The sequence below is a fragment of the Homo sapiens genome, chromosome 8, assembly GCF_000001405.40.
Source record: "Homo sapiens chromosome 8, GRCh38.p14 Primary Assembly".
In the NCBI taxonomy this organism is placed as follows: domain Eukaryota; kingdom Metazoa; phylum Chordata; class Mammalia; order Primates; family Hominidae; genus Homo; species Homo sapiens.
In genome coordinates, this window is record NC_000008.11 from 2924219 (window position 1) to 2947090 (window position 22872).

General features: G+C 39.0%; 1 protein-coding gene and 1 long non-coding RNA gene across 9 annotated transcripts in view; one reads left to right on the forward strand and one right to left on the reverse strand.

Moving 5' to 3' along the window:
* Positions 1 to 22872, forward strand: part of LOC105377785 (uncharacterized) — a 297276-nt gene that overhangs the window by 197263 nt on the left and 77141 nt on the right. The window contains exons 10-11 of one of the 5 annotated variants that reach the window (NR_168442.1): positions 1547 to 1593; positions 1966 to 2412. The exons of the other annotated variants lie outside the window; for them this stretch is intronic. This is a non-coding gene — a long non-coding RNA (uncharacterized LOC105377785). The remainder of the gene's footprint in view (positions 1 to 1546; positions 1594 to 1965; positions 2413 to 22872) is intronic. 5 annotated transcript variants of the gene reach the window in all.
* Positions 11143 to 22872, reverse strand: part of CSMD1 (CUB and Sushi multiple domains 1) — a 2059554-nt gene continuing 2047824 nt past the window's right edge. For all 4 annotated transcript variants that reach the window (XM_011534752.3, NM_033225.6, XM_011534753.4 and 1 more), the window contains 2 exons: positions 18254 to 18386; positions 11143 to 14526 (listed from right to left, as the gene is read on the reverse strand). In XM_011534752.3, the coding sequence (XP_011533054.1) occupies positions 14367 to 14526; positions 18254 to 18386 (293 nt within the window). In that variant the 3' untranslated portion in view covers positions 11143 to 14366. The remainder of the gene's footprint in view (positions 14527 to 18253; positions 18387 to 22872) is intronic.

Below are 22872 nucleotides of genomic sequence, written 5' to 3' on the forward strand. Positions count from 1 at the left end.
TTTTTTTTTTTACCTATGATAAAAGAAAAACTTCAACCAAATTAAATTTAAAGGAGTATAATTGAGCAAAGAACGATTCGCGAATAAGGCAGCTCCCAGAATCACAGCAGATTCAGAGAGACTCCAGCACAGCCACGTGGTGGAAGGAGATTTTAGACAAAAAAAAGAGAAATGATGTACATAAATTAGAAGTGAGGTACAGAACAGCTAGATTGGTTACAGTTTGGCATTTGCCTTATTTGAACACGGTTTGAACACTCAGAAGTGTATGAGTGGTTGAATTATGGCTGCTGGGACTGGCCAAGTCTTAGCGATTGTTACAGGGACATGCTCCTAAGTTAGATTTTCTTTTCTTTTTTTTTTTTTAAATTTCATTCAGTTTTATTTTTATGATTTTTGCTATATTAATTCTTACCAATTTTAAACCAACATTTTTAACCTAAATCAATTCATTTTACATTATTTTCAACTTAAACTGCTTATACTTACATTTTCCAATACATTAAAATATAAAATTATTACAAATGTTCACCCATGTAAGATCTAAAATTATCTCAAGTTCCAGGAGTGGTAGTGGGCTTACACTTTGAAAAACATGACTAGATGCAAAATTTGAGTATTCGTCTTGACGGCTTAAAAACATATTAAACATACGCTGGGCACAGTGGCTCACACCTGTAATCCCGGCACTCTGGGAGGCTGAGGCGGGTGGATCACGGGGTCAAGAGATTGACACCATCCTGGCCAACATGGTGAGACCCCATCTCCACTAAAAATATAAAAATTAGCTGGGCGTGGTGGCATGCACCTACAGTCCCAGCTACTCAGGAGGCTGGGGCAGGAGAATCACTTGAACTGGAGTTAAGATTTTCAGTCTTGTCTACCTATTAAGCTAGGTTGCAGGTCGTCCACAAGGACTCAAATATAGAAGCACAGAGTCCTTCCCAAGCCATATTTAGTTCCTTTAACACTTACATAGAATGGACTAAAGGGTTTGTGTTGTGTGGTGTGTGTGTGTGTGTGTGTGTGTGTGTATGTGATAAATAACTTTGTGTAGCAAATATTGGCTTTTAAAAAATTACTTTAAAGACTTTCACTCTTTTCTGACAAAGCGATCTGTGTTGAAGCTCTTCCTGGAGGGTTTAACGCATCTGGTGCCACCACACACCAAGATAGAGGGAGATTATTTTCCACAGTTATTTGTGTAAAGAAGATCTTAGGGTGGTAGGTGGTTTATACAAGATTTGAATATGGACAGGTTTTCTTTGGTTATTTAAAAAAGAAAACATACACAAAGAATCTGTGTAATTGAGGAGTTATCAGGTAAGTCATTTTACGTTGGGGCTATGAGTCTTTGTGAGGATCTAAGTGAATATTAACCAAGTGGAACCTTACAGAGTCAGGTGTTTCAGAGAAAAAACTTTTGATCCTGCACAATGTTAAAATATCAATGCTGTTTTTATTACAATCTATTAACAAGAGCAGCCAAAAAATGACGCCAGATCTCTCCCATACAGGAGATAATATCTTTTTTTTTCTTTTTCAGAAATAGTCAATGGCATTTTAAAGAAAGATGAAGGGATCAAGGCTGAGGTCAGTGAGTTTACAAACAAGTAATAATAATTCCTTCAATCTAACAGCCTCTTCTTCTGCATTTCTAATTTTCTGAAAAGTCAGTTGAGCCATTCCAATAGGAAAAACATTGTAAATGTGTATACAAGATGTTTGTATCACCTCAATCTTTTTAGCTTTCATTAGGAGCATTTTTTTGGTATAATACACATGCTTCAATGTAGCTTTTCTATATTTGGATCATTTCATACAAGAAAAATTTAAGAATCCTTTCTTCTCTCACTGCAAAAATATCTCACTAAGCTCACCCAAGGAAGGCCATCCCATAATAAAGCTTGTTTGAATCACTTTCCCTGAAGGTACATTCAAACCCAGTTATAACATGATCTCCAGGAACTGCACAGGAGGAAGCTGTCTCCACCAGGAGCTGGATCAGATGCTGCTCGCTGTCTACCTATTGTTGACGTCCTCCTTCCCACGTGGATGCAACGTGAGCAGTCAGAAAGTCAAACTTCACGGAACGACAGAGGTGCCAAAACGGCAACTCCACCACCTGTCCGAAGATCTAAGAGAACACCAGCTGTCTGACAGTGGCTTGAACATTATACATTCAGCTTTTCACTTACAAATATAGCTGTGAATTCACAGGGAGTAATCCTACGTGCTGGATCTCATTCTCAAGTGGGAAAATTCTATAGAAAAACTGATGTCAAATTAGCCATTTGTGGTGGTTGCTGAAGAAGACACACCAAGTCAGATGCTCCTGACTAAGCAAGGCGATACCCTCCAACTGAGCATGGAAGCCCTACTGCAATAGGAGGGCCTTCATCATCCACACTGGTTAGCACTTGCCACTTCTTGCTGCCATTGCCTCTCATACAAGAAAGTCAAGCCAGTGTAGATCAAAAATAATAACAATAAAAATAAAAAAATAAAAAGGTTTACCTAATTTTATTCAGAAGCTTTATTAAAGATTTTTTTTGTATTATCTGATTTTTAATCTGATTTTTAAAAAGATTTTTAAAATCTTTTTACCTTTATTAAGGTAAACTTACTTTGTTAGATTATCCTGAATGTACAGTTCAATGAGATTTAGTAAATTTCCAATTGTGAAACCCTATCAAAACCAAGTTCAGAAGATGTCTATCAATCAAAAAGAATAAGAAGCTTATAGAAATCTCATATAAATGGGAATATGTAATAGGGAGTCTTACATGCTTGGTTTTCATTTAGCATATTGCTCTTCAGATTCTCTCCTATAGCTGCATGCTATTCGTAGTTTCCTCCTTTTTATTACTGAGTAGATGTGTGGTTGTGTGGATATAACACATTTCCTTTATCCGTTCACCCGTCAGCACTTGCATTGCTTCCAGTTTGAGGCCATCACAGAAAATACCCTGAACATTCACATATAAGTCTTTTTTGTCAACATAACAATTACTTCTTTCCTGGATGTGGAATGGCTGGTGAAGATAAGTTTAACTCATTTAGAAACTGTCAAAGTGTTTTTCAAAGTAGCTGCAACATTTTTTAAATCCTCACCAGAAATATTGGAAAATTCCAGTTTCTCCACAGTATTCCAACACTTGGAAGCCTGAGTCAGTTCATGTGAATTTTAATTCGACCTCTAAGTAAAAAAGATGTGTTACAAATGTGCATCTTGTGATTATTCCAGTCGCCTGAGGAGGAAGGAGGGTGGGCAGGATTTTTACTAAAAGTCAAATTTTGAGGTGTTTTAAGTAGATTTGGTAGTAGAAAAAGATGATCATTTCATTATTTTTTTCAATTTATTTTTTTCCAAATTTTCTCATTTTTCTTCAAGACATTACAGAAAACCTGAAGAAACATGAAATAAAGAAGGAAATAAAACCCATTCATAACCTGCTACCCCTGAATAAATCCAGCAAGCTTCTTGTCCATGCTTTCTCTTGGTCTGTGTCCAGGGTCATGCAATGATTTTCCAGTCATGACTGTGAAACAAATCAATTCTAAATTTTACAGTACCTCTTACCTATGTTCCATTGCTACATGGTCTTCATATTTAATGTGTAATGAATGCCTGGTGTTTCTGTCTCTCATTTTACTTTAAATTATATGATGTTTTTCTACTCTCAAAATATTTATTTCATTAATGTTTACTATTTAGTAATATATCAATATATCTATATCTGTCAGTATCGATCCATCTGTCTACATAGTATGGAGACTTGTGTTCTGTTTTCTTCCTTCAGATTTGTTATTTAGAACTTGTTTTCATCAATAGCGCTGAACAGGTCAATGATATGAATACTTTATGATTATCAGAACATGTTTCCAAACTGCCTTCAAAATTGCATATGTAGAGAGACAGTGTCAGTTTTACTTTGGCCTCACTGGTTTGGGAAGCAACATGACTGTTTTTTTTTTGTTTTTTTTTTTTTGAGACGAAATGTCACTCTGTTGCCCAGGCTGGAGGGCAGTGGCACATTCTCGGCTCACTGTAACATCTGCCTCTCAGGTTCCAGCGATTCTCCTGCCTCAGTCTCCTGAGTAGCTGGGACTACAGGCCCACCACACCCAGCTAATTTTTTTTGTATTTTTAGTAGAGACAGGGTTTCACCATCTTAACCAGGCTAGTCTCGATCTCCTGACCTCGTGATCTGCCCACCTTGGCCTCCCAAAGTGCTGGGATTACAGGCGTGAGCCACCGCAACCGGCCTGACTTTGCTCTTCTCCTTCAATATTGTATTGGCTCTTCTGAATCTTTTCCTCTCTGTATAAACTTTAGAATCAGTTTGTTGATATCCACATATAACTTACTGGGATTTTGATTGGAATCATATTTAGTATACATCAATTTAGATGTGCAAATATAGATCAATTTGCATTAAATATAGATCACTATAGATTGACATCTTGACAATAATGAGGCTTCCTATCTATGAATAAGGAATGTATCTTTATTTAGTTACTCTTTGATTTCTTTCATCAGTTTTGTAGTTTAGATCTTAGAGACAATTTCTATAATTTTAGACATGATAACTCACCTTTCTAAAACTTTACTTTCTATTCTAGAAATTAAGGTTATTAATAGTACCTAGCCCCACAGGGTTGCTAACAAAATCAATTGAGACAATGCAGATGTATCTCTAAAAGCCAGATATGGGATCGCAGAACACTCAGAGGATGCCCCCTAATGCTCCCTTTCAAGCTCAGAAGCTGATGCTCAAGAGCTTTTCTCGCCCTGGAGTCCTTGCTATCTCCCTTTCTATCGACTCCGGTTTCTAAAGAAGACGCTAAAACTGTGAGTTCTTAAGCCTAGGTTCTTACCAATACAGGGAGAAATCGTCTTGGTAATCTCCATCTCAGAATCATAAGAATTCAAGACATTTTCTGGGATGACATTTTCTTTCCCTCATGTACTCTTCTGTCTTTTTTTTTAATGTGGTAAAAAAGAATAACGGGCTCATATGAATTCTGGAAAGTTATACAAGTCCTTGACTTTCCACCTATCAGTATTCAAACTCCATCTGCGAGGCAGATTCTAAGACCTTCATCGTGAGCTTTCTATTATGAGATAAGATGGTCTGGAAATAAAAGCTGGGACACCAGGTGGAAACAGGATGGTGGTAAAGGCCTATAGAACAAAAGGTGACTCTGGAGGCCAAAGGTCATGGGAGCAGAGTCAATGACATCAGCCAAGTTAACCATGCAGTCCCAGAGCCCCTGCAGATGGCCACAGGGAGCACCTCATCAGCAGAACTGGAGCAGGCGCGGAACCGACAGACCAGGCGACCTTGCAGGGGCCCCAGTGCCTCAGGCAGGAGTCTGCCTAGGGTGCTGGGCTGAGGATGAGCCTTGGGCTGGACTGTGTGAATATGGTGGGAAAATTCTAACTTAGCGAGAGGCATTCGAGAGCAAGAGTGGCTGGGTTTGAGGTCTCATTTTATGCTTCCTCCCTGTGGAATCTATCACAATGTCTCTCATTTCTTGGGCTCATAAGGGTGACGTGAGAGGATTAATTGAGGCAATAATGTGCGAAACACAAAATAGTGCAAAACAGTTAGCATACTGTCTCGCGTATAGAAGCAGTTCAAAATATGTTCACTCTTATTGTCTTGTTGGTACCTTTCCAGATGCACTTGTGTCCAAAATAGAAAGTAGGATTAAAGTTATTTCAACAAATTCTTCCCATATAAATCTTTCAGGTCAATGTGGCCTGCTGTGTTAAATAATTAGTCTAGGCATTTGTTATTTTTTTCTTTGCTCCTTCAGCATGAGATTCAGTACGTATAGGAAATGCAAACCTCCTTTTCTTTTCCTTATTTTCCAACCATCAAACTTTTCAAACGTAAATAAAACCTTAGACTTTGAGGCTTCCTGAATTTACCTGTGTTACATTCAAAAGAACTATTTTCTGATGTATTTTTCTGTTGTTTAGCCAAATCCTTGTGGGTAAGCAAATTATTTCTAATTATATCCTCTTGCACAGCAGTTTCATTTTCTTATATCACAGAAGCCTTCTTTAGGTAGAACTTCTTGAGACTCTACCACTGACTCAGGTCCCACTTTTTTTTTTCAACACAGGATTTAATTTTATTTGTATTCATGCATAATGTGTCAGACATAGGATAGAAACAAGCACAGCTTAGAGGAGAAGAAAGGGGCTGCAGTCAGAGGTGTTATTGTCAAACTATGCTAAAATATGAATCGTTTCCAATGATTTTTACCAAATATTCATGAGCCAACATTATTTACAAAGGGCACACGCTTTACAAATAAAACCAGATATTGATATCTCCAACTTGCAGCTTGGAAAGTTGTGATCCAAGAATGGTTCTATGATCATCCGAGGTCTCAGAGATAGGAGGACATCGAGCAAGGAATAAAAACTTCGGGCTGGGCACAGCGGCTCATACCTGTAATTCCAGTGCTTTGAGAAGCCAAGGAGGGTGGATCACTTGAGCCCAAGAATTCCAGACCAACCTGGACAACATGGCAAGACTTCATCTCTACAAAAAATACAGAAATTAGCCTGGCATGGTGGCAGGACTGCAGTCTCAACTAGTGGGAAAGCTGAGGGGAGAGGATCGCTTAAGCCCAGGGTACTGAGGCTGCAGTGAACTATGATGGTTCCACTGCACTCCAACCTGGGTGACAGAGCAAGACCCTGTCTCAAAAAAAAAAAAAAAAAAGAGAACAAAACAAACAAAAAAACCCAAACGACTTCAATGCTCATTATTTCATAATTTAAAATATAATGTATTTCAAATATAAATTATGGCATAGAGTATAAAAAATCAACATATGATCAGGGAAGTACAAATCACAACCACAGTGTGATACCACCTTACTCCTGCAAGAATGGACATAATAAAAAAAAGTCAAAAAAATAGTAGATGTTTGCATGAATGCGGTGAACAGGGAACACTTCTACACTGCTGATGGGAAGGTAAACTAGTACAACCACTGTGGAAAACAGTGTGGAGATTCCTTAAAGAACTAAAAGTAGAACTACCATTTGATCTAGCAATCCCACCACTGGACATCTACCCAGAGGAAAATAAGTTATTACACGAAAAAGTTACCTGCACACACGTTTATAGCAGCACAATTTGCAACTGCAAAAATGTGGAACCAACCCAAATGCCCATCAATCAATGAGTGGATAAAGAAACTGTGAATACATATATATATATATGAATGATGGAATACTACTCAACTATAAAAAGGAATGAATTAATGGCATTTGCAGCGACCTGGATGAGATTGGAGATTATTGTTCTAAGTGGGTTAACTCAGGAATGAAAAACCAAACATCGTATGTTCTCATTCCTAAGTGGGAGCTAAGCTATGAGGATGCAAAGGCATAAGAATGACACATTGGATTTTGGGGGCTCAGGGGGAAGGTGTGGAAAGAGGGTGAGTGATAAAAGGCTACAAATAAGGTGCAATGTATACTGCTTGGGTGATGGGTGCACCAAAATCTCACAAATCACCACTAAAGAGCTTATGCATGTAACCAAATATCACCTGTCCCCCAATAACCTATGGAAATAAAAAAAAAATCAACATGTAGGTACTTGTACAACTTGTAAAAGTTAAAACTTTTTTCTACTTTCTTCACATTGTATTGGAAGTAAATAAAGGTGATAGATAACTGATAGATACATAGATAAACAATAGGATGATAGAAAAATAGACAAATGATAGATAGGTGTTAAATGGAAAGAAGATAGATGATAGGATGATAAATATATAGATGATAGATAAAGAGGAGAAAGAGAGAAATTGGGTAATAGAATGTGAAAATAGACGTGAAATGCTTAAATCATGACCTGGTGCACACTGCTTTCTCTATAACCCCATGAGGTAGATAATATTATCCTATCCATCTTAAATGTCTCTAAATAGCTTTCCCAAGTTTCCATTTCAGACAACTTGGAAGCTCTCCACGTAGCACCATTCAAATCCATTACCCATTCTCTCACCTTAGGAGTCACTACTAATCTGAATATGACGTTATTTCGTTCTATGCATTTCTAATAACTGGATTACATATATATGCATCCCTTTGCAACACACAATGTGATTTTTAATCATTTTGATAAGTGGATCTATACTGTCCACGTTCTTTGAGATGCCAGGACAGGAAGGTTGGCCAGAATTGAACACCAGAGTCTATCAGGACAGCATCCAAAACAGAGCTCCACCCCATGCACCAAGCTTGGAAGGCACCGCCAACATAGCCAGGACCTGATACAGACAGCAGTGCTGTCCTGGGCTGCCCCAGACCTCCAGATGCAGGGTGGCTTTTTAATGCTCGGAAATCATTGAACACACTAATAGTGCGAAGAAATGTCAGGTAATTCCCGTGGCATAAGTCTTATCCTTTCCAGTTAAGTACATTTTTATATATTTTTTAGACAGGGTCTCCCTCTGTCGCTCAGGTTGGAGTGGAGTGGCGGGATCTCAGCTCACTGCGACCTTGGCCTCCATGCTCAAGTGATCCTCCCACTTCAGCCTCCTAAGATGTTGGAAAAACAGTTGCATTTCACCACGACTGCATATGCCATCACGATAGCCTAATTTATTTATTTATTTATTTTTTTTTTTTGCAGCAACAGGGTCTCCCTGTGTTGCCCAGGTTGGTCGTGAACTCCTGGGCTCAAACAATCCTCCCGCCTCAGCCTCCCAAAGTGCTAGGAATACAGGTATGAGCCCGCACGCCCAGCCCCAATTAAATACTTCATTTATACATAATCCTATGGACTAAGGGGTCCACACAGCCTGAAAAAAATAGGAAAGTGAGTCGTCTTGCACTTTCCCTTTAGAAACTGTGTGATAAACTAAAAGTTGCTGTGATATCCACAAAAGAATAACGCCTTAAAACAAGCAAACCAACAGGTCTTCTAAGCAGTATTGCAAAACAATTCTTGCTGTCCTTTAGCCCAAGATATTTTAGTCGTGAAAAGCAGTGAATAGTGGGTGTCCGTCATCCTCCAAAGAACATGAAGCTTGTTGAAAGCCACTGGCTTCCAGGCCCTCTGGTTGGGTGCATGCCCCTGGAAGCATTCAACCCCTCTGAAGGGTTTTGATTAAATGCAGCAAAGGAGGCTTTTAGCAACTCTCTCAGCCATCTGAGCAGTTGTGACTGTCATTTAGGCCCAGTAATTTGTCATTATATTCAGAGACAGCAGAGCTGAGGATGGTGTTTCACGCTTGCAGGGCAGTGGATTTGAAGTGCGCAGCCCCAGTTGTTGGCCACACAGAGGCTTGGTGAGCCGGGGTGAATCTCTGAGGTTCTTTCTCAGTCTACGTTGTAACTATGGCTGTCTAGTTCCTCAACTGCAAGTAACAGTCACTAAGCCTGGATAACTTGAAGAAAAAAAGACAATTGTATAGAAAGATATGGGGTTGCTCCCAGAATTAAGAGAAAAGGCCGGTGAGCAGGTCGTGGGAATGCAAGTGGCCCTGTGGAATGAAAGACTGACCTCCTGGCAGGGAGTGGGTTGACGGACTGAGGGTAAATTCAGCCAGATGTACCTGACCCTGCAGGTCAGGCCCCGATTCCTGGGAGAGGAGTCAGTCCCAGCTCAACCACATGAGTGTGATTCCCCCACGCCCAGTCGGGGACAATCGAGGAATTGTGAGCAATGCTCATTAAAGCTGATTGTCATCAGGAGGAGTGACTCCCAGGGAAACTCCAGGTGCCAGTCCCACAGGAGAAGAGGACGCAAACTGGGTTTCAATAGCCACAGATGTCCGTGCTGTGGATGGTAACACGGTCGCCTATTCTGCAGCCTTTAATACATCAAATAATTATAGAAGCCCCATATTTTTTAGGAAAGCACTCAAACCGAGGCACAGAGCAAGACAGATTTTATTTATTATTTTAAAGAACCGTAGCGTGAAACACACTGTGGGATCACTACTTTCTTGCTGCCCCCGAAAGCTTCAACTCAATATGTTAATAACTCACAAGGGTGTATTATGTATGAGCATTCTGTGGAATGTGAAAATTAGTAATAGAGAGTACTTATTTCCCTTTGAATTCTTAGCTTTGGTAATTATTTACTCAATGAAGCAAAAGAAGATTCACAGGTAGAATGACAGAAAAATTCAGAAAAAAAATTGGATAAGAAAGGGAATATTGGATGCATTTCATAATGTGACGGTTTCTTGAAAAATGAGAAAGTTGAAGCAAGAGAAACCTGACCTGTAATATCAGCTCTGCCTATCTGTGTGTCGTTGGGTAAACCAACCAACTTATTTAACTTCCTGCTTCTTCATCTAAATTATCAAAGTGGCAAAACCCTCTCGGTTGGATTATGGGGGTTTTGCAACGTCTGCGAGTCACAAAGTGCAGTGTCTCGCGCTCGGTATTTCCTCAATAAATGGCACCTAAATGCAGTTGCTGGCCAGCAAGACTCAGATTGCAAGTTGGACATCAAAACTTGGTCGCTGCGAAGCCACCGTGGGCTATTTTGGAAATATTATTGGTTGTTTTTCATTTTGTAATAACTTGACTCTCAGAGAAAGTAGTGTATCATTCTGTTGAACTGCAAGACATTCGGCGTGATGGGCCACCAAGGACGTGTAAAGCATTGTGTTTTCTGTCAGCCCAGAAATGAACGGGGGACCGCTGGTTCTGAGTTTAAAAAGCGGTTTGATTTTTTTGAGCCTTCTTTAAATGTGTTATTTGGAGTGCTCTGTTAAGTAGGTCTATAATTCTCTTTCATGTCATTTTTTTAGTGTGGTGAACGTTTACAAACAGAGCTCCCAAATTGAAAAGAAATCATAAAAAAACATAGGTTTTGGTTTGGAGGAAACCAAGTTTTCTTACCGTTTTTAATGTGAACCATCAAGAAATCTGTCAGCTTCAACGTTACTATTCTGTGTCTCATGGTTCCTGCTAAATGTGCTATTGATTAATCATGACGATGATGTGAATGTCGTGGGAAAAATATGGAGCTTCATTTTGAATATCCTAAAGGCTCATTATGAAGACTCCCATTCCTTCCCTCCCCTGCAAGGGACTCAGGTGCGCATATTAAAGTGAAAATAAATTCACACAGAAAAATAGAAATCTAAAATTAAATATTTAATTAGAACTCTGATTTGCTTTAAAGATTGGTGGCATTGCACAGGCTATATTACACCCTCTTTATAATTTTTTTGACAAAAAAAAGATACTGTTCATTTTAACAGGCCACTTTAATATTAATACATGTGTAATAGGATTGGAACTGAAAATCAGCTAGAGATGGTACATTTTACATTATTGGGAAAATTACAGTTCTGTATTGTAAAAACATTTATTTTTTAACAATGTACCTACATTAATCAAAAAATTACAGCATATTTAATAATTTTACAAATTCTTCATAAAAAATATATCTCTGTACAAAAAGGTCTTTCGCACCTACGTCGTGACAGCAGCGTGTGGTGGGACGGGAGGGAGGGTCGGCGATGACAATGGGTTTTCCTGATCATAATGCCAGCGTTCTTTTTTTTACCCCCTTTTTATAATAGCTTTTTGTTGTTGTTTACAAAATATTTTACAGAAGAAAAAAATTATTGCAGCTAGCCTGAAAAAAGGCAAGATGTGTGTGTAAAACAAGCAGCAGTTTTAAACAGCTCTGAAGCACGTGTCCTCTGTTAGTGTGTGGTCGCGTCCCTCACGCGTGTTCCCGTTGCCTTCAGGGAAGAGTCTTCTAGACCTAACTCAGCAAGCACAGCTCCTGACTGCCCTAAAATGAGATCCTCCAACACCTTGCGGAGACGCCGTTCAACACTGCACACAACCTTAGGAAGAAACTAGGCAGAATTCTCACACGAGAATTTCACTGATTTTTTTTTTCATTTAAATAACATGCTTCAAACTGGCAACCCTAGGACAGTTTGACTTTGCACACAAAGGAAAATCATATCTAATTTGATATGTGGTTTCTTGTATGTATGTATGTCCTGTCATTTCAGGATTTCATAGCATCGTTGACCAGGGAGCAGGTCAGGGATATGGGAACAGAGATGTTAATTCAGACTCTGAAGTCAGCATTTTGCACCTAGTTTGAATGACTCAAACTTAGATATGTACAATATATATATATATATATGTATGTATATATATACACTAATATGTATAGTAACCCTGTTCTCCCTTGCACACGAGCCTCCTCACACTTTCAATCATCTTCTGTTTCGTTCAATGTGTGTGTTAGGAGCACGACTCCCGCTGACCTCGTCCCGTCTACTGTGAAACAGCAATGTAAGGATTCCCACTGGCAAAGCAAATCTCCAAGGATGTGGGCAGGTTGGCCAGGGAAAACTGTGCAGAGAATTCAGCATAATGATACAGAATCCAACAGCGTGGGGTTCACAAGACAAAGGAGTCCCTAGGAGAGGCCAGTGAGTCCCCAAACAGCAGAGACCCTTTCGACCGAGGAACACAACACTGGGAGCCGAGCTCTACGGAAATGTCCGAATCAAAACGCGTGACTCTCCAAAGAATGCCCCATTTTCCTGACTGCTTTTCCTTTTCCACATTTGAAGTCCTACATGGAAACCTTCAGTACACCAACAGATAAATCAGTCTTAAAGCTAGGTGTCAATGTGTTCACTCCGACAACGTGAAGGCCAATTTGAACATTCTGACATTTCTATTACCAACGCCAATCTAAAATGTGAAACAGAGAAAATCTGCCACAATTGAATAGGAACTGAAATATCAAATAATAAAATAAGTACTATCGTTTCAAAAATATTTTTATCAAATAAGTATAAGTAAAAGTAAACATGATTTTCACTTTGAATTTGTTACATAAACTACCTCACGGCCACATCTTCTACTTCATGTTTTGATTTTTATTTGCCCTGGGGATCTTATAGATTTTATTTGCATCATAACTTATCATTTACCTATAATGGAATTTAAACTTGAAAAGTCACTGAAATTACCTTTCCATCTGGAATCATAAAGCATGAAACAAATAACAAATGAATGTATAAAATATATCATTGTGAGAGGAGAGTGTGTGTACTTTTTCCTTCCCTCTAAAAGAACACTTGGTATTTTGATCCTGAACAATTTTCACTGAGTTCAAGGTGCTACTGTGGTATATTGTCTTTCAATGCAATATCAAAGATCGATGGCACAGTAAAAGACAAAAAAAAAAAAAAACAAAAAAAAAACACTGCAAAAGGGAAGGCTGCATTGTGAGCTAAAACCCACAAGTTCATCGACTATCTAAAATAAATTACTATTCACAGTTTTACATGGCAAACAGAAATTTCTGCAAACCCCCTGCTATTAAGTAGTATCAGAGAGACAGTAATTGGATGAGGATGGTACTAAAGGAGGAAAACGTGTGAAATAAGGAGGCTTCTGTTTTTTTCTCATTGGACCTCTTCAATGAATTCAACACGTAAATGGAGCTAATTGAAGCAATAATAAAATAAATCTCTTCAATACTGTATTTCCTTTTAAAATCTGTGCCATATCTAGGAATACTTTTCCCTAACACTCCAACTAAGCTGATGGGGGAATGTTTAGCTTGATAATATGAAATAATGCTTATATACAATGGATAGTGTGTATAAACCCTGTGTAAATAATTTATTTTTTTTATCAGAATCTTAGTCATTCATAACACACTAGTGCAAAAAATTGTGCATTAAACATTCTGCGACAGAACAGCTGACTGGGAAATTGCAAACATCCCTAGAGATGAACACACAGGGGAGCTGTGAGGTCCTCAAAGCTTGTCAGGTCTCGGAAGGACAGAGTGAAGCATTTGTAGGTGTGAGCCTCTATCAGAAAGGTGTCTTCTTCCAGAAAGCTTTTTATTTTTTTCAGAGTATTCGTGTTCATGGGGGTTTAAAAAGGAAAAACAACACAAGAGAACACATATCGTGGTGCCACCATTCTGTCACCGCACCTGAGGGACATATCCACGAGCCCAGACGATTGCATTGAAAGGCATCTCAGCAACACAGAAATATGAAAGTCTGAGGCATTGAGTATGACGTGTTGGCGCGACGTGGCAGTCTTCCTGGAGTGTGCCTTGATTTCATACAGATGCAGCCAGGCATTTAGAACCCACTTTTGGAATGAAAACGCATGTGTAGTTTGATCCGTAGAAGACCCTGACACATTTGAGTAGAGATCCCCGCTGCACTTATGCCAGTAGACAAGGTTGAAGATCGCTGCAGTAAAGCCAGAGTGGAAGGGAGAGTGGTATATGGCACCAAAGGAATCACTGCTTGTCCATCAGAGGTATGGCTATGAATCAGTCCTGTTGGGGCACTGAGGGCTATACCACTGTACAGACTGTGTTCAGAGTTGTGTCAAACCTCACAGCCTTGGCTTCTGTGGGTTTTAAGTTTGTATCATACATGGGGTTTTCAAACGATGCTTGTCCATTGCTGTTTTCATGCCCAGCATAGCCATTGTATTGAACTTTTGGTCTCGTTCTAAGGAAAACAGAAAACAAATCATTAGAATCCTGGTTTCATTTGCAGATTTAGCAGCTGGGACTGTGTGCAGGAGACAACGTCTACAGAGCAGGGAGCAGTATAGCCAGGACGTTTGCAAAGAAGGAAGGCATCCACACCTGCACACCTGTCAGTTTATTTGCTTAAATTGGTGATTGGGAGTATAAAATGGGTTTTAAAAAGTGAATCGATTTCAAAAATTAAATAAAATTTTTTTGAGACAGGGTCTCACTCTGTTACCCAGGCTGGAGTGCAGTGGCACGACCACCACTCATTTCAGCCTTGACCTCTTGGGCTCAGGCGATCCTCCCACCTCAGCCTCCTGGGTAACTGGGATCAAAGATTTACTTATGCTTCCTACAAATGCCCCAGGGAAATCGGGAAGGTCCCAAAGGCTGAATCGGATTGGTTTTGTTTTGGATGTCTATTTATCACTGATAAGTTATACGGCCTTGGTTAAGACACGAAACTTTCTACTACTCTGTAAAACAGGGTTGTGGGCATATGCCTAGCCTTTAGCACGGTATGCTTACACTAAATTTCAAGTTTAAGCTTTTAGTTCACTGTCGTTACTAATATTCACAAAAAGTTATTTTTTATTTTGCCTCTGTTGAGTTAAAAATGAATCTTTATAAAAAAGGAACTATACTCATTATTAAACTGTTGTCACATTTTCTGGTTAAAAGAAAACCCCTACGTACAATCTATGATTAGAGAATTAGAGGATTTTCAGACTGAAAAGACAGAATCATGTCTGGTCTGCTCTGTCTCTGTTTATTCTTTCCTTATTCCAGAAGAAATCAGGTAAGAAAAATGTGCCACGTGGCAAAACCAGAAATTTAATGTACATAAGCACGCTCGCAAAAACATCATTTGACATTGGGCGTCAAGAAACTTCTGCCGAGACATTTACTAGATTTCCTTATGTTACACATGCTCATTAAGAAAAAGAGAAGTACGTGGCACATGGCTCTGAGAAAAAGGCAGAACAGCACTTTGTGACTGCCCTTGGAGTGGGAGAGGTCCGTGACATTGTGCTTGGAACATGCGCCAGCAGTGATCGTTAGCAAACAAATCCAGCCCCTCGTCAATGAAGTGAAGACCTGGCTAAAATGTTCACTCAATCGTCCAGATCACAAGCTGCCACAGTCCCTTCATGTGTAGGGAAATGCAATCCCAGAGTGGAACTGGCTGCAGCTGGATGCTGACGTGCAGGTGTGCAGCTGCACCCGGCAGAAGGCTGTCAGCACCTTGGGCTCTGAGGAAGCAACTCCCAACATGCAAGCAACAGACTCAGAAATGAGCAGAAACAGGGTTTTTCTGGAGGAATGCAGAGCCAACTCATCAAGAAATATTTATCTCTTTAGAGCCTGAGAAGCCAGTGTAGAGAGTGCTACAGGCTTGGTGCTTTCCTGACCAGGTGGTGAGAACTTGAAGAAAATGGATTGATGTGCTGCTGGCAACTGAGCCCTGGGCTTCCTTGCTTCTACAAAAATTCCACCATCCCTCGCTCCTATGGCACAGAAGTAGAGAACTAAAAGACCCAATGGATTGAGAAGTCACAGTGGCCTCATAGCCGTCCTCTTGAGAACTGTGAGAGGGAACAGCTTCCTTCATATTCAACATGCAGGGCAGCCTCTTGGTCTTGGTGCAGTGTTAGGAAGGGAGGGAGTCCAGTTGTGATGACGACAGATTCCCCACCGACCCAGAGGAGGCATCACATTTACATAAAAATAAGCGCTATCTCCCTTATCTCTGGCTCTGTAATCTGAGATCTCTTTCCAAGGCACCGCCTTCACGGAGACACCCAACTACTCAGCATTGACAGGGAAGTTTCTAAGGTTTAACGACTAAAACTGGTGTGTATGTTGGATATAGCCCCCAATGCTACATTGCCTTAAAGTTAAGATATAATCAGAAGTGATATTTATGTATAAATATGCATATATAATTATGTGGGGTTATCTTTTTAAAGGACAAGACAATCCCAGTCTTATATGAAGGTTTGCATCTTTGCAGGCAAGTTGAGGGAAAACAGCTTTAATGGACTAGACCTTTTCCTTGGGGTTAATGTGGATGCCAATCAAAAGCAAAAATAAATTTGTAGGAATTGTAAGTTCCTACATATGTGTCTCTATAAGGATATTATATGACCCAGAGGAACCCGTGAAAGAAGATACATTTTTGTGTATATCCCTTTAAGAAGAGAAGCTCATCTGATCATGGCATCTTATTGGAGAAGGTAGTGGCATATCTTTCTACATTTACTAAATTTTAAATTAGTCCTGAGCAGAAATTCAAGGATAAGGCTCATCGGACTTGTGTGTATTGGGTATTTTCTCTTCCAAAAAATTAACACAGATGTGCCCATCTTTAATTTTCTAAATATCATCTGAAATGTTTTTCATTGAGTCATATTCTTAAAGAAAGAACATTACTAGCCATAGGGAACTGAAGACACAGGCACAAGCAGCTAATACACCTTTGAAGCAACATTTTCTCTACTGTGTATTTCAAAAGTGAATATAAGAAAGCAAATATTTAAAGAGGCTATTTCATGAGTTTTGAAAAAATAATATCATGACAGTTTTTCTGTTTTAACCAGAATTAAGTGAAATATCTGTATTATGTACTGATATTTATTTAACCTATCTAATTTTATTTCAGGGGATCATAATTTATTTCTTATTATTTGTAGTTAATGCTACCATTTCAAATAGTATTTTAGAGTAGTTTGGCATTTCCAGATTCCTCCAGGTAATGTATTATCCATATATGGAAAAAATGTACAAGGAGTTTATAGTTCCTCCAAAATAATTCTTTTCTTCTGGCATCCACATTAATCCCAAGGAAAGGATCTGGTTCACTAAAGTTGTTTGTCCCCAAGTTTTGACATTTTACAGTTAGCAGAGTTTTGCAAATTGATGGGTATTCAGAACACTTTTTCAAGAGATGGAACATCTATATTGCTTACTACATATAAAGAGCTAAATTTGTATTTGTTGAAGAAAGAAATCAATGAAACATCTATCAATCACAGATTCACAGAGTTGAAAGTGGCCATAGAGAACATTCTGTTCACCCTTTTGCTGGAAGGTTGAAATACCTTCTAAAGGTTCTCATCGTTGGCCATGGAGCCTGAATGTAGAGATAGAATCCTTTATTTCATCTTTCAATTGAACATGAAAGAAAAAAACATATTATTTCTCAACTCAGTCATTTATTCTCTTATTTCTTAGATGTATTCTGCTTAAAAAGTAGGGCAGAAAACAACAGAAAGGACAACAAAAAATCTTGACAAATAAGCATTGTTAGTCCAAGAAAGAGCATTGCTCTCACTCATGAGTGGGAGCTGAACGATGAGAACACATGGACACATTGAGGGGACAACACACACTGGGGCCTGTGGGGGGCTGGAGGGAGGGAGAGCATCAAGAAGAACAGCTGATGGGTGCTGGGCTGAATACCTGAGTGATGGGTTGATCCATGCAGCAGACCACCCCGGCTTACATTTAACTAGGTAACAAACCTGCACATCCGGCACGTGTACCCCGGAACTCAAAATAAAAGTTGATTTAAAAAAAAAAAAAGAACATTGCATAGTAATATAAAATACATGTGCATGTGAGCACGAGAGCATGCCCATTACTTTAAACCCATAGTTTACACTCACAACATTCTCAAACAGATGGTGTTTCTGCAGTACCTGTGTTTGTAGAGGTAAAATGCAAACCCTGATAAAATTAGAGCAAAGAAAGGAACCAGAATGGCAGCCGCCACAGAGCCACTGCTGGTGCCGTGGTAATGACTGGAAGAGTCTTGATCTGGGTTTAAAGGATCTGTAAGATAAAGGAAATATTAAATTTGTTGTTACTGTACTCTGCTTAAACAAATACATATGATAAATTTTGTAAATGGATACGAACTCTTCAAGAAGCAGACGGAGTTGCCATTTCACAGGAAACCAAATGATATTCTTTTCTAAAGATTTTTAATATCCACTTAATGACCGGGACAAAAAACTGACTATTTCCTACTAATAATGGAGAATACTATGAAAGAGTCTCAACATTTAAAATGTGAGAAAGGCAAAAGGGTCAGTATACATCCTGACTTTCGTTTATAGTTATAGGTGTTTTCACAAAACTAACTGAAAACATTTATGTATTTTTTCTATATTCAGAGGTCAATAATATTTGCTGTTTTTTCAGGTCTTAAGGCCAGACTCGGCAAAATATGTCATTGAAATTATGTAAATATCCCAGTTATCCATAAAAATGGCATTGCATTCTTCATATGTGAATAGGATGGTGTCATCTGTCTTTATTTTACGTACATTCTGAAATTCACAGAAGAGTTTAGAAATACTCAAAAATAATTATAGTTCAATGTCACAATGCAAGTTTCCATGAAGACACAAAATAATGCTAAAATGTAACTTTTTAAATTAAATAATTAATTTTTCTTTTTTTTTTTTTCTGAGACAGAGTCTCACCCTGTTGCCCAGGCTGGAGTGCAGTGGAGTGATCTCAGCTCATTGCAACCTCTGTCTCCCAGGTTCTAGTGATTCTCCTGCCTCAGCCTCCCAAGTAGCTGGGATGACAGGTGCCTGCCGCCATGCCTGGCTATTTTTTGTATTTTTACTAGAGATGGGGTTTCACCATGTTGGCCAGGCTAGTCTTGAACTCCTGACTTCAAATGATCCACCTGCCTCGGCCTCGAAAAGTGCTGGAATTACAGGCTTAAGCCACCACACCTGACCTAAAATATACCTTTTGTCCATTAGAAAGGAAGGCAAATGTGAATACTTCAAGTATCATGAAGGTGATAGAATCAGCCAGGACTATGGAGTGTCTCATGGCATGGCACTGAGAGGAAAGCAATAAAAACTCAAATCCACAGACCTTTATTAAGCAACTGTTGCCAAAGGAGGAAGTAAGTTTTTGAAGAGTGTACTAATAAAATATAATTTTGAGATGGATTTGGCCTAATTGCATGGAGTCACTTAATGCAGGTGTGCAATGAATCATGATTGGCGTCATCTCAATATAGCAGAATTGTTGAGAAGAAGCTCATCTGGTTTTCTTATTTCCAGAATTTATAAAATGTCAGATTCAAAGAGATGTTGCTGTATTTATTGTTTTATAAACCAGAAATGCAAAAAATCAATCAAATATTAAAAATCTTTAAATCATTATTTGTATCAACACCCTTTAATTTTCATATAAAAACTTTCAAATGACATTATTTGCCATTTGCTTCAATAGATGTAGGATTATGACTGCCTACAATATTAACGTCCAATAGGAACATATTTTGGAGCAATGTTGGCTTTTTACAACTACTTATCTTTTTGAGATCTGCCCCACCATCACGCAAAAGGAAGATGCCAGACACTTGCTCTCTTGCAATCTGAGCACCCAGGTTATGGACGTGCAGCGAGTGAAGCCAATTGGGTGTTCCCACCCCAGGCACTGTATTGGAAGCGAGGGACGCAAAACATTCTGAGATGGTTTAAAATTTGTTCCATGGCTGAAGGGGTTCTAGAGCCCTGGGGACAACATGAAGTGTGTGTGTATGTGTGCACTGAGGGTGGTCCCAGCAGCAGCAGTGGTGCAGCAGTGATGTCCAGTGACAAGGGGTGGTGCTGTCCAACAGAGAGCAGTGGTGCCCTACTCAGATGGCACCAACTTCATGGGTTGGTTGTGAAAATCATATGTTAGTACATCTCAAGTGCTTACAACAATGCCTGGCACAGAGGGAATGTTCACACGGACTCATAGTCACAAAAATGTAACTTTCCTGAAGCCAGGGATTTTGTTTTGTTTTGTTTGGTTTCGTTTGGTTTGGGTAGCTTTCCTCTTGACTCCTCAGAACCTGCAATAAAACCTAGAACACAGTATGTGCTCAATATATATTTGCAAAATTAAAAAAAAAAGTTTTGTCTGTATAGCATTTCAGCACCCAAATATCTTTTAGTTTCCATTACGATGCCAAACATTGATCTTCAAGTTTCTGTAATTCTGGGATTATCTGTCTTATTCTTATAAATGTGTATTCTACTTACATTAACCACAGTTACTTTTTTTAATCTGAAAACAAAGCTACATACTTTTATCCATAATAGATAACAAAATTCCAAATAATAAAATGCTGGAAAATCTACGTGTCACAAGACACCTCACATGAAAACAAAGAACAACACGTAAGAAGGTGTTTGTGAATTACATAACCAAACTTACCGTGAGATTATCACATGCCTGCAGCTCCTAGTTAATTTCAGTTACTTGCCTTGTTTTAATAATTTGAAGGTTAATATACACACATTGTGTTAATTAAAATGGCATAAAGGGATATGAAAACAAATAATATAAAGGAAAATTAAAATAATCATTCCTTGCCCTACAAGGTAGTTCCTCTTTATAGTTGAGGGTTTTAAAAATTGTCCTTCCAACAATGTACTCGTAATATGTGTGATTATTTCTCTTTTCTTATTTTTATAATTGGTAATATTATTTGCATTTTGCTTATGTGGCTTTTAACCTTAACAGTCTATTTATGAGGCTCTTCCATTGGCATATATGAATCAGATTTAATTTTTTAAGGTGTGTAGTATTCTACTGATTAGATATAACAGCATTTATTTAGCCAGTCTACTGTCCAGGGACATTAAGGGTGTTTCTAATACTTCTATAATGTTGCAATGAAATCTTTTGCCTATATCTACACATTAGCAGGAGTCGACATTACATAAGACAAATCTTAAGAAGTAGAATTATTGAGAAACAGAATTTGTACCTTTTAGTGTTGCTACATCCTACCTAATTGCTCTCTAAAGAGGCACTGCAATTTCATTCAATCATTATCGTACGAGGGTCTTCACAATAACACATGGACAGCTCTGTGCGATCCCTCTGCTACCCTCCGTTCCCTTCTCTTCCCCCTCCTTGTTTTCCCCTGTCCCTCCTCCTCTCTCATTGCCCTCCTTCCACACGTTATTATTGGTTCCTTGGCTGTTGCAACCACAACTGTTGCTGCCACTACTACAATGATAAATCAAACAGTGTTTAGGTAGTTATAAATTTACATTTCTTTACTGAAGGAGGGTGAGCATCTTTGCACATGTGATAAGCTAGGTCATTCAATTTTCTAAAGAGCATTATTGAAACAAATGCACATCCTGTCACGCAACACTTCATGTTGGGGATACATTCTGAGAAATGCTTCGTGAGGCAATTTTGCGGCTGTGTGAGCATCAGAGTGCACTCACACACCTAGACGGTGTTGCCTACTGCATATCTAGGCTATAGGTACAGCCAGTGGCTCCTACATGAGTAACACCGTGCACTATGACATTATGGCAGCTGTGGTGTCACCAGGTGTTAGGAATTTGTCAGCTTCTTTATAATCTTATGGGGTCACTGGTGCATATGCGATCTTTTGTTGACCAAAATGTCATTATGCGATGCGTGACTGTCCTATATAATTCATCCACTTAAGCTGAACACACAATCCAAGGCTTTCTCAGTGTTTTCATAGGGTGGTGCAATCACCACCGTAGTCTCACTTAGAAGATTGGTGTCCCTCCAAAAGAATCTCAGTATCTCTTAGCTTTATTCTTCCTCTACCTTCATCCCAACCTTCAACCCAGGCAACCACTAATCAGTGTCCCATCTCTTTGGATTTGCCTGTTATGGACATCTCCTGTAATGGATTCATAGACTATTTGGCCTTTTTTTATCTGGCTTCCTTCACTTGGCATGACGTTTTCAAGGTCCATCCTTGTTGTAGGATTCTTCAATACTTTATTCTTCTTCAGTGCTGACTAATATTCCATTGTATGGCTATATTACATATTGTTTATTCATTCATCCATTGATAGACATTTTGGTTGTATCTACATTTGGGTTATTATAAATAATGCTGCTCTAAGCATTCATGTACAAGTTTTGTGTGACATATTTTTCAGTTCTTTTGGCTACCCATGTAGGAATGGAATTGCTGGAGCTTAAGTAACAACTGTTTGATGAACTACCAGAGTGTTTTCCAGAGCAGCTGCATCATTTCACATTTCCCCAGCAAAGTAGGACAGTTCCAGTTCCTCCGCCTCCTTGCCACCCTTTGCGATTTGACTTTTAGATCACAGCCATCCTTGTGGACATGAAGGGGTATCCCAGTGTGGTTTTGATTTGCATTTCCCTGATAATGATTATAATCAACATCTTTTCATGGGCTTATCGCCATTTGCATGTCTTTAGAGACATATCTATTCAAATCTTTGGTCAATTTCTTATTTAGGTTATTTGCCTCTGTATTATTGAGCCA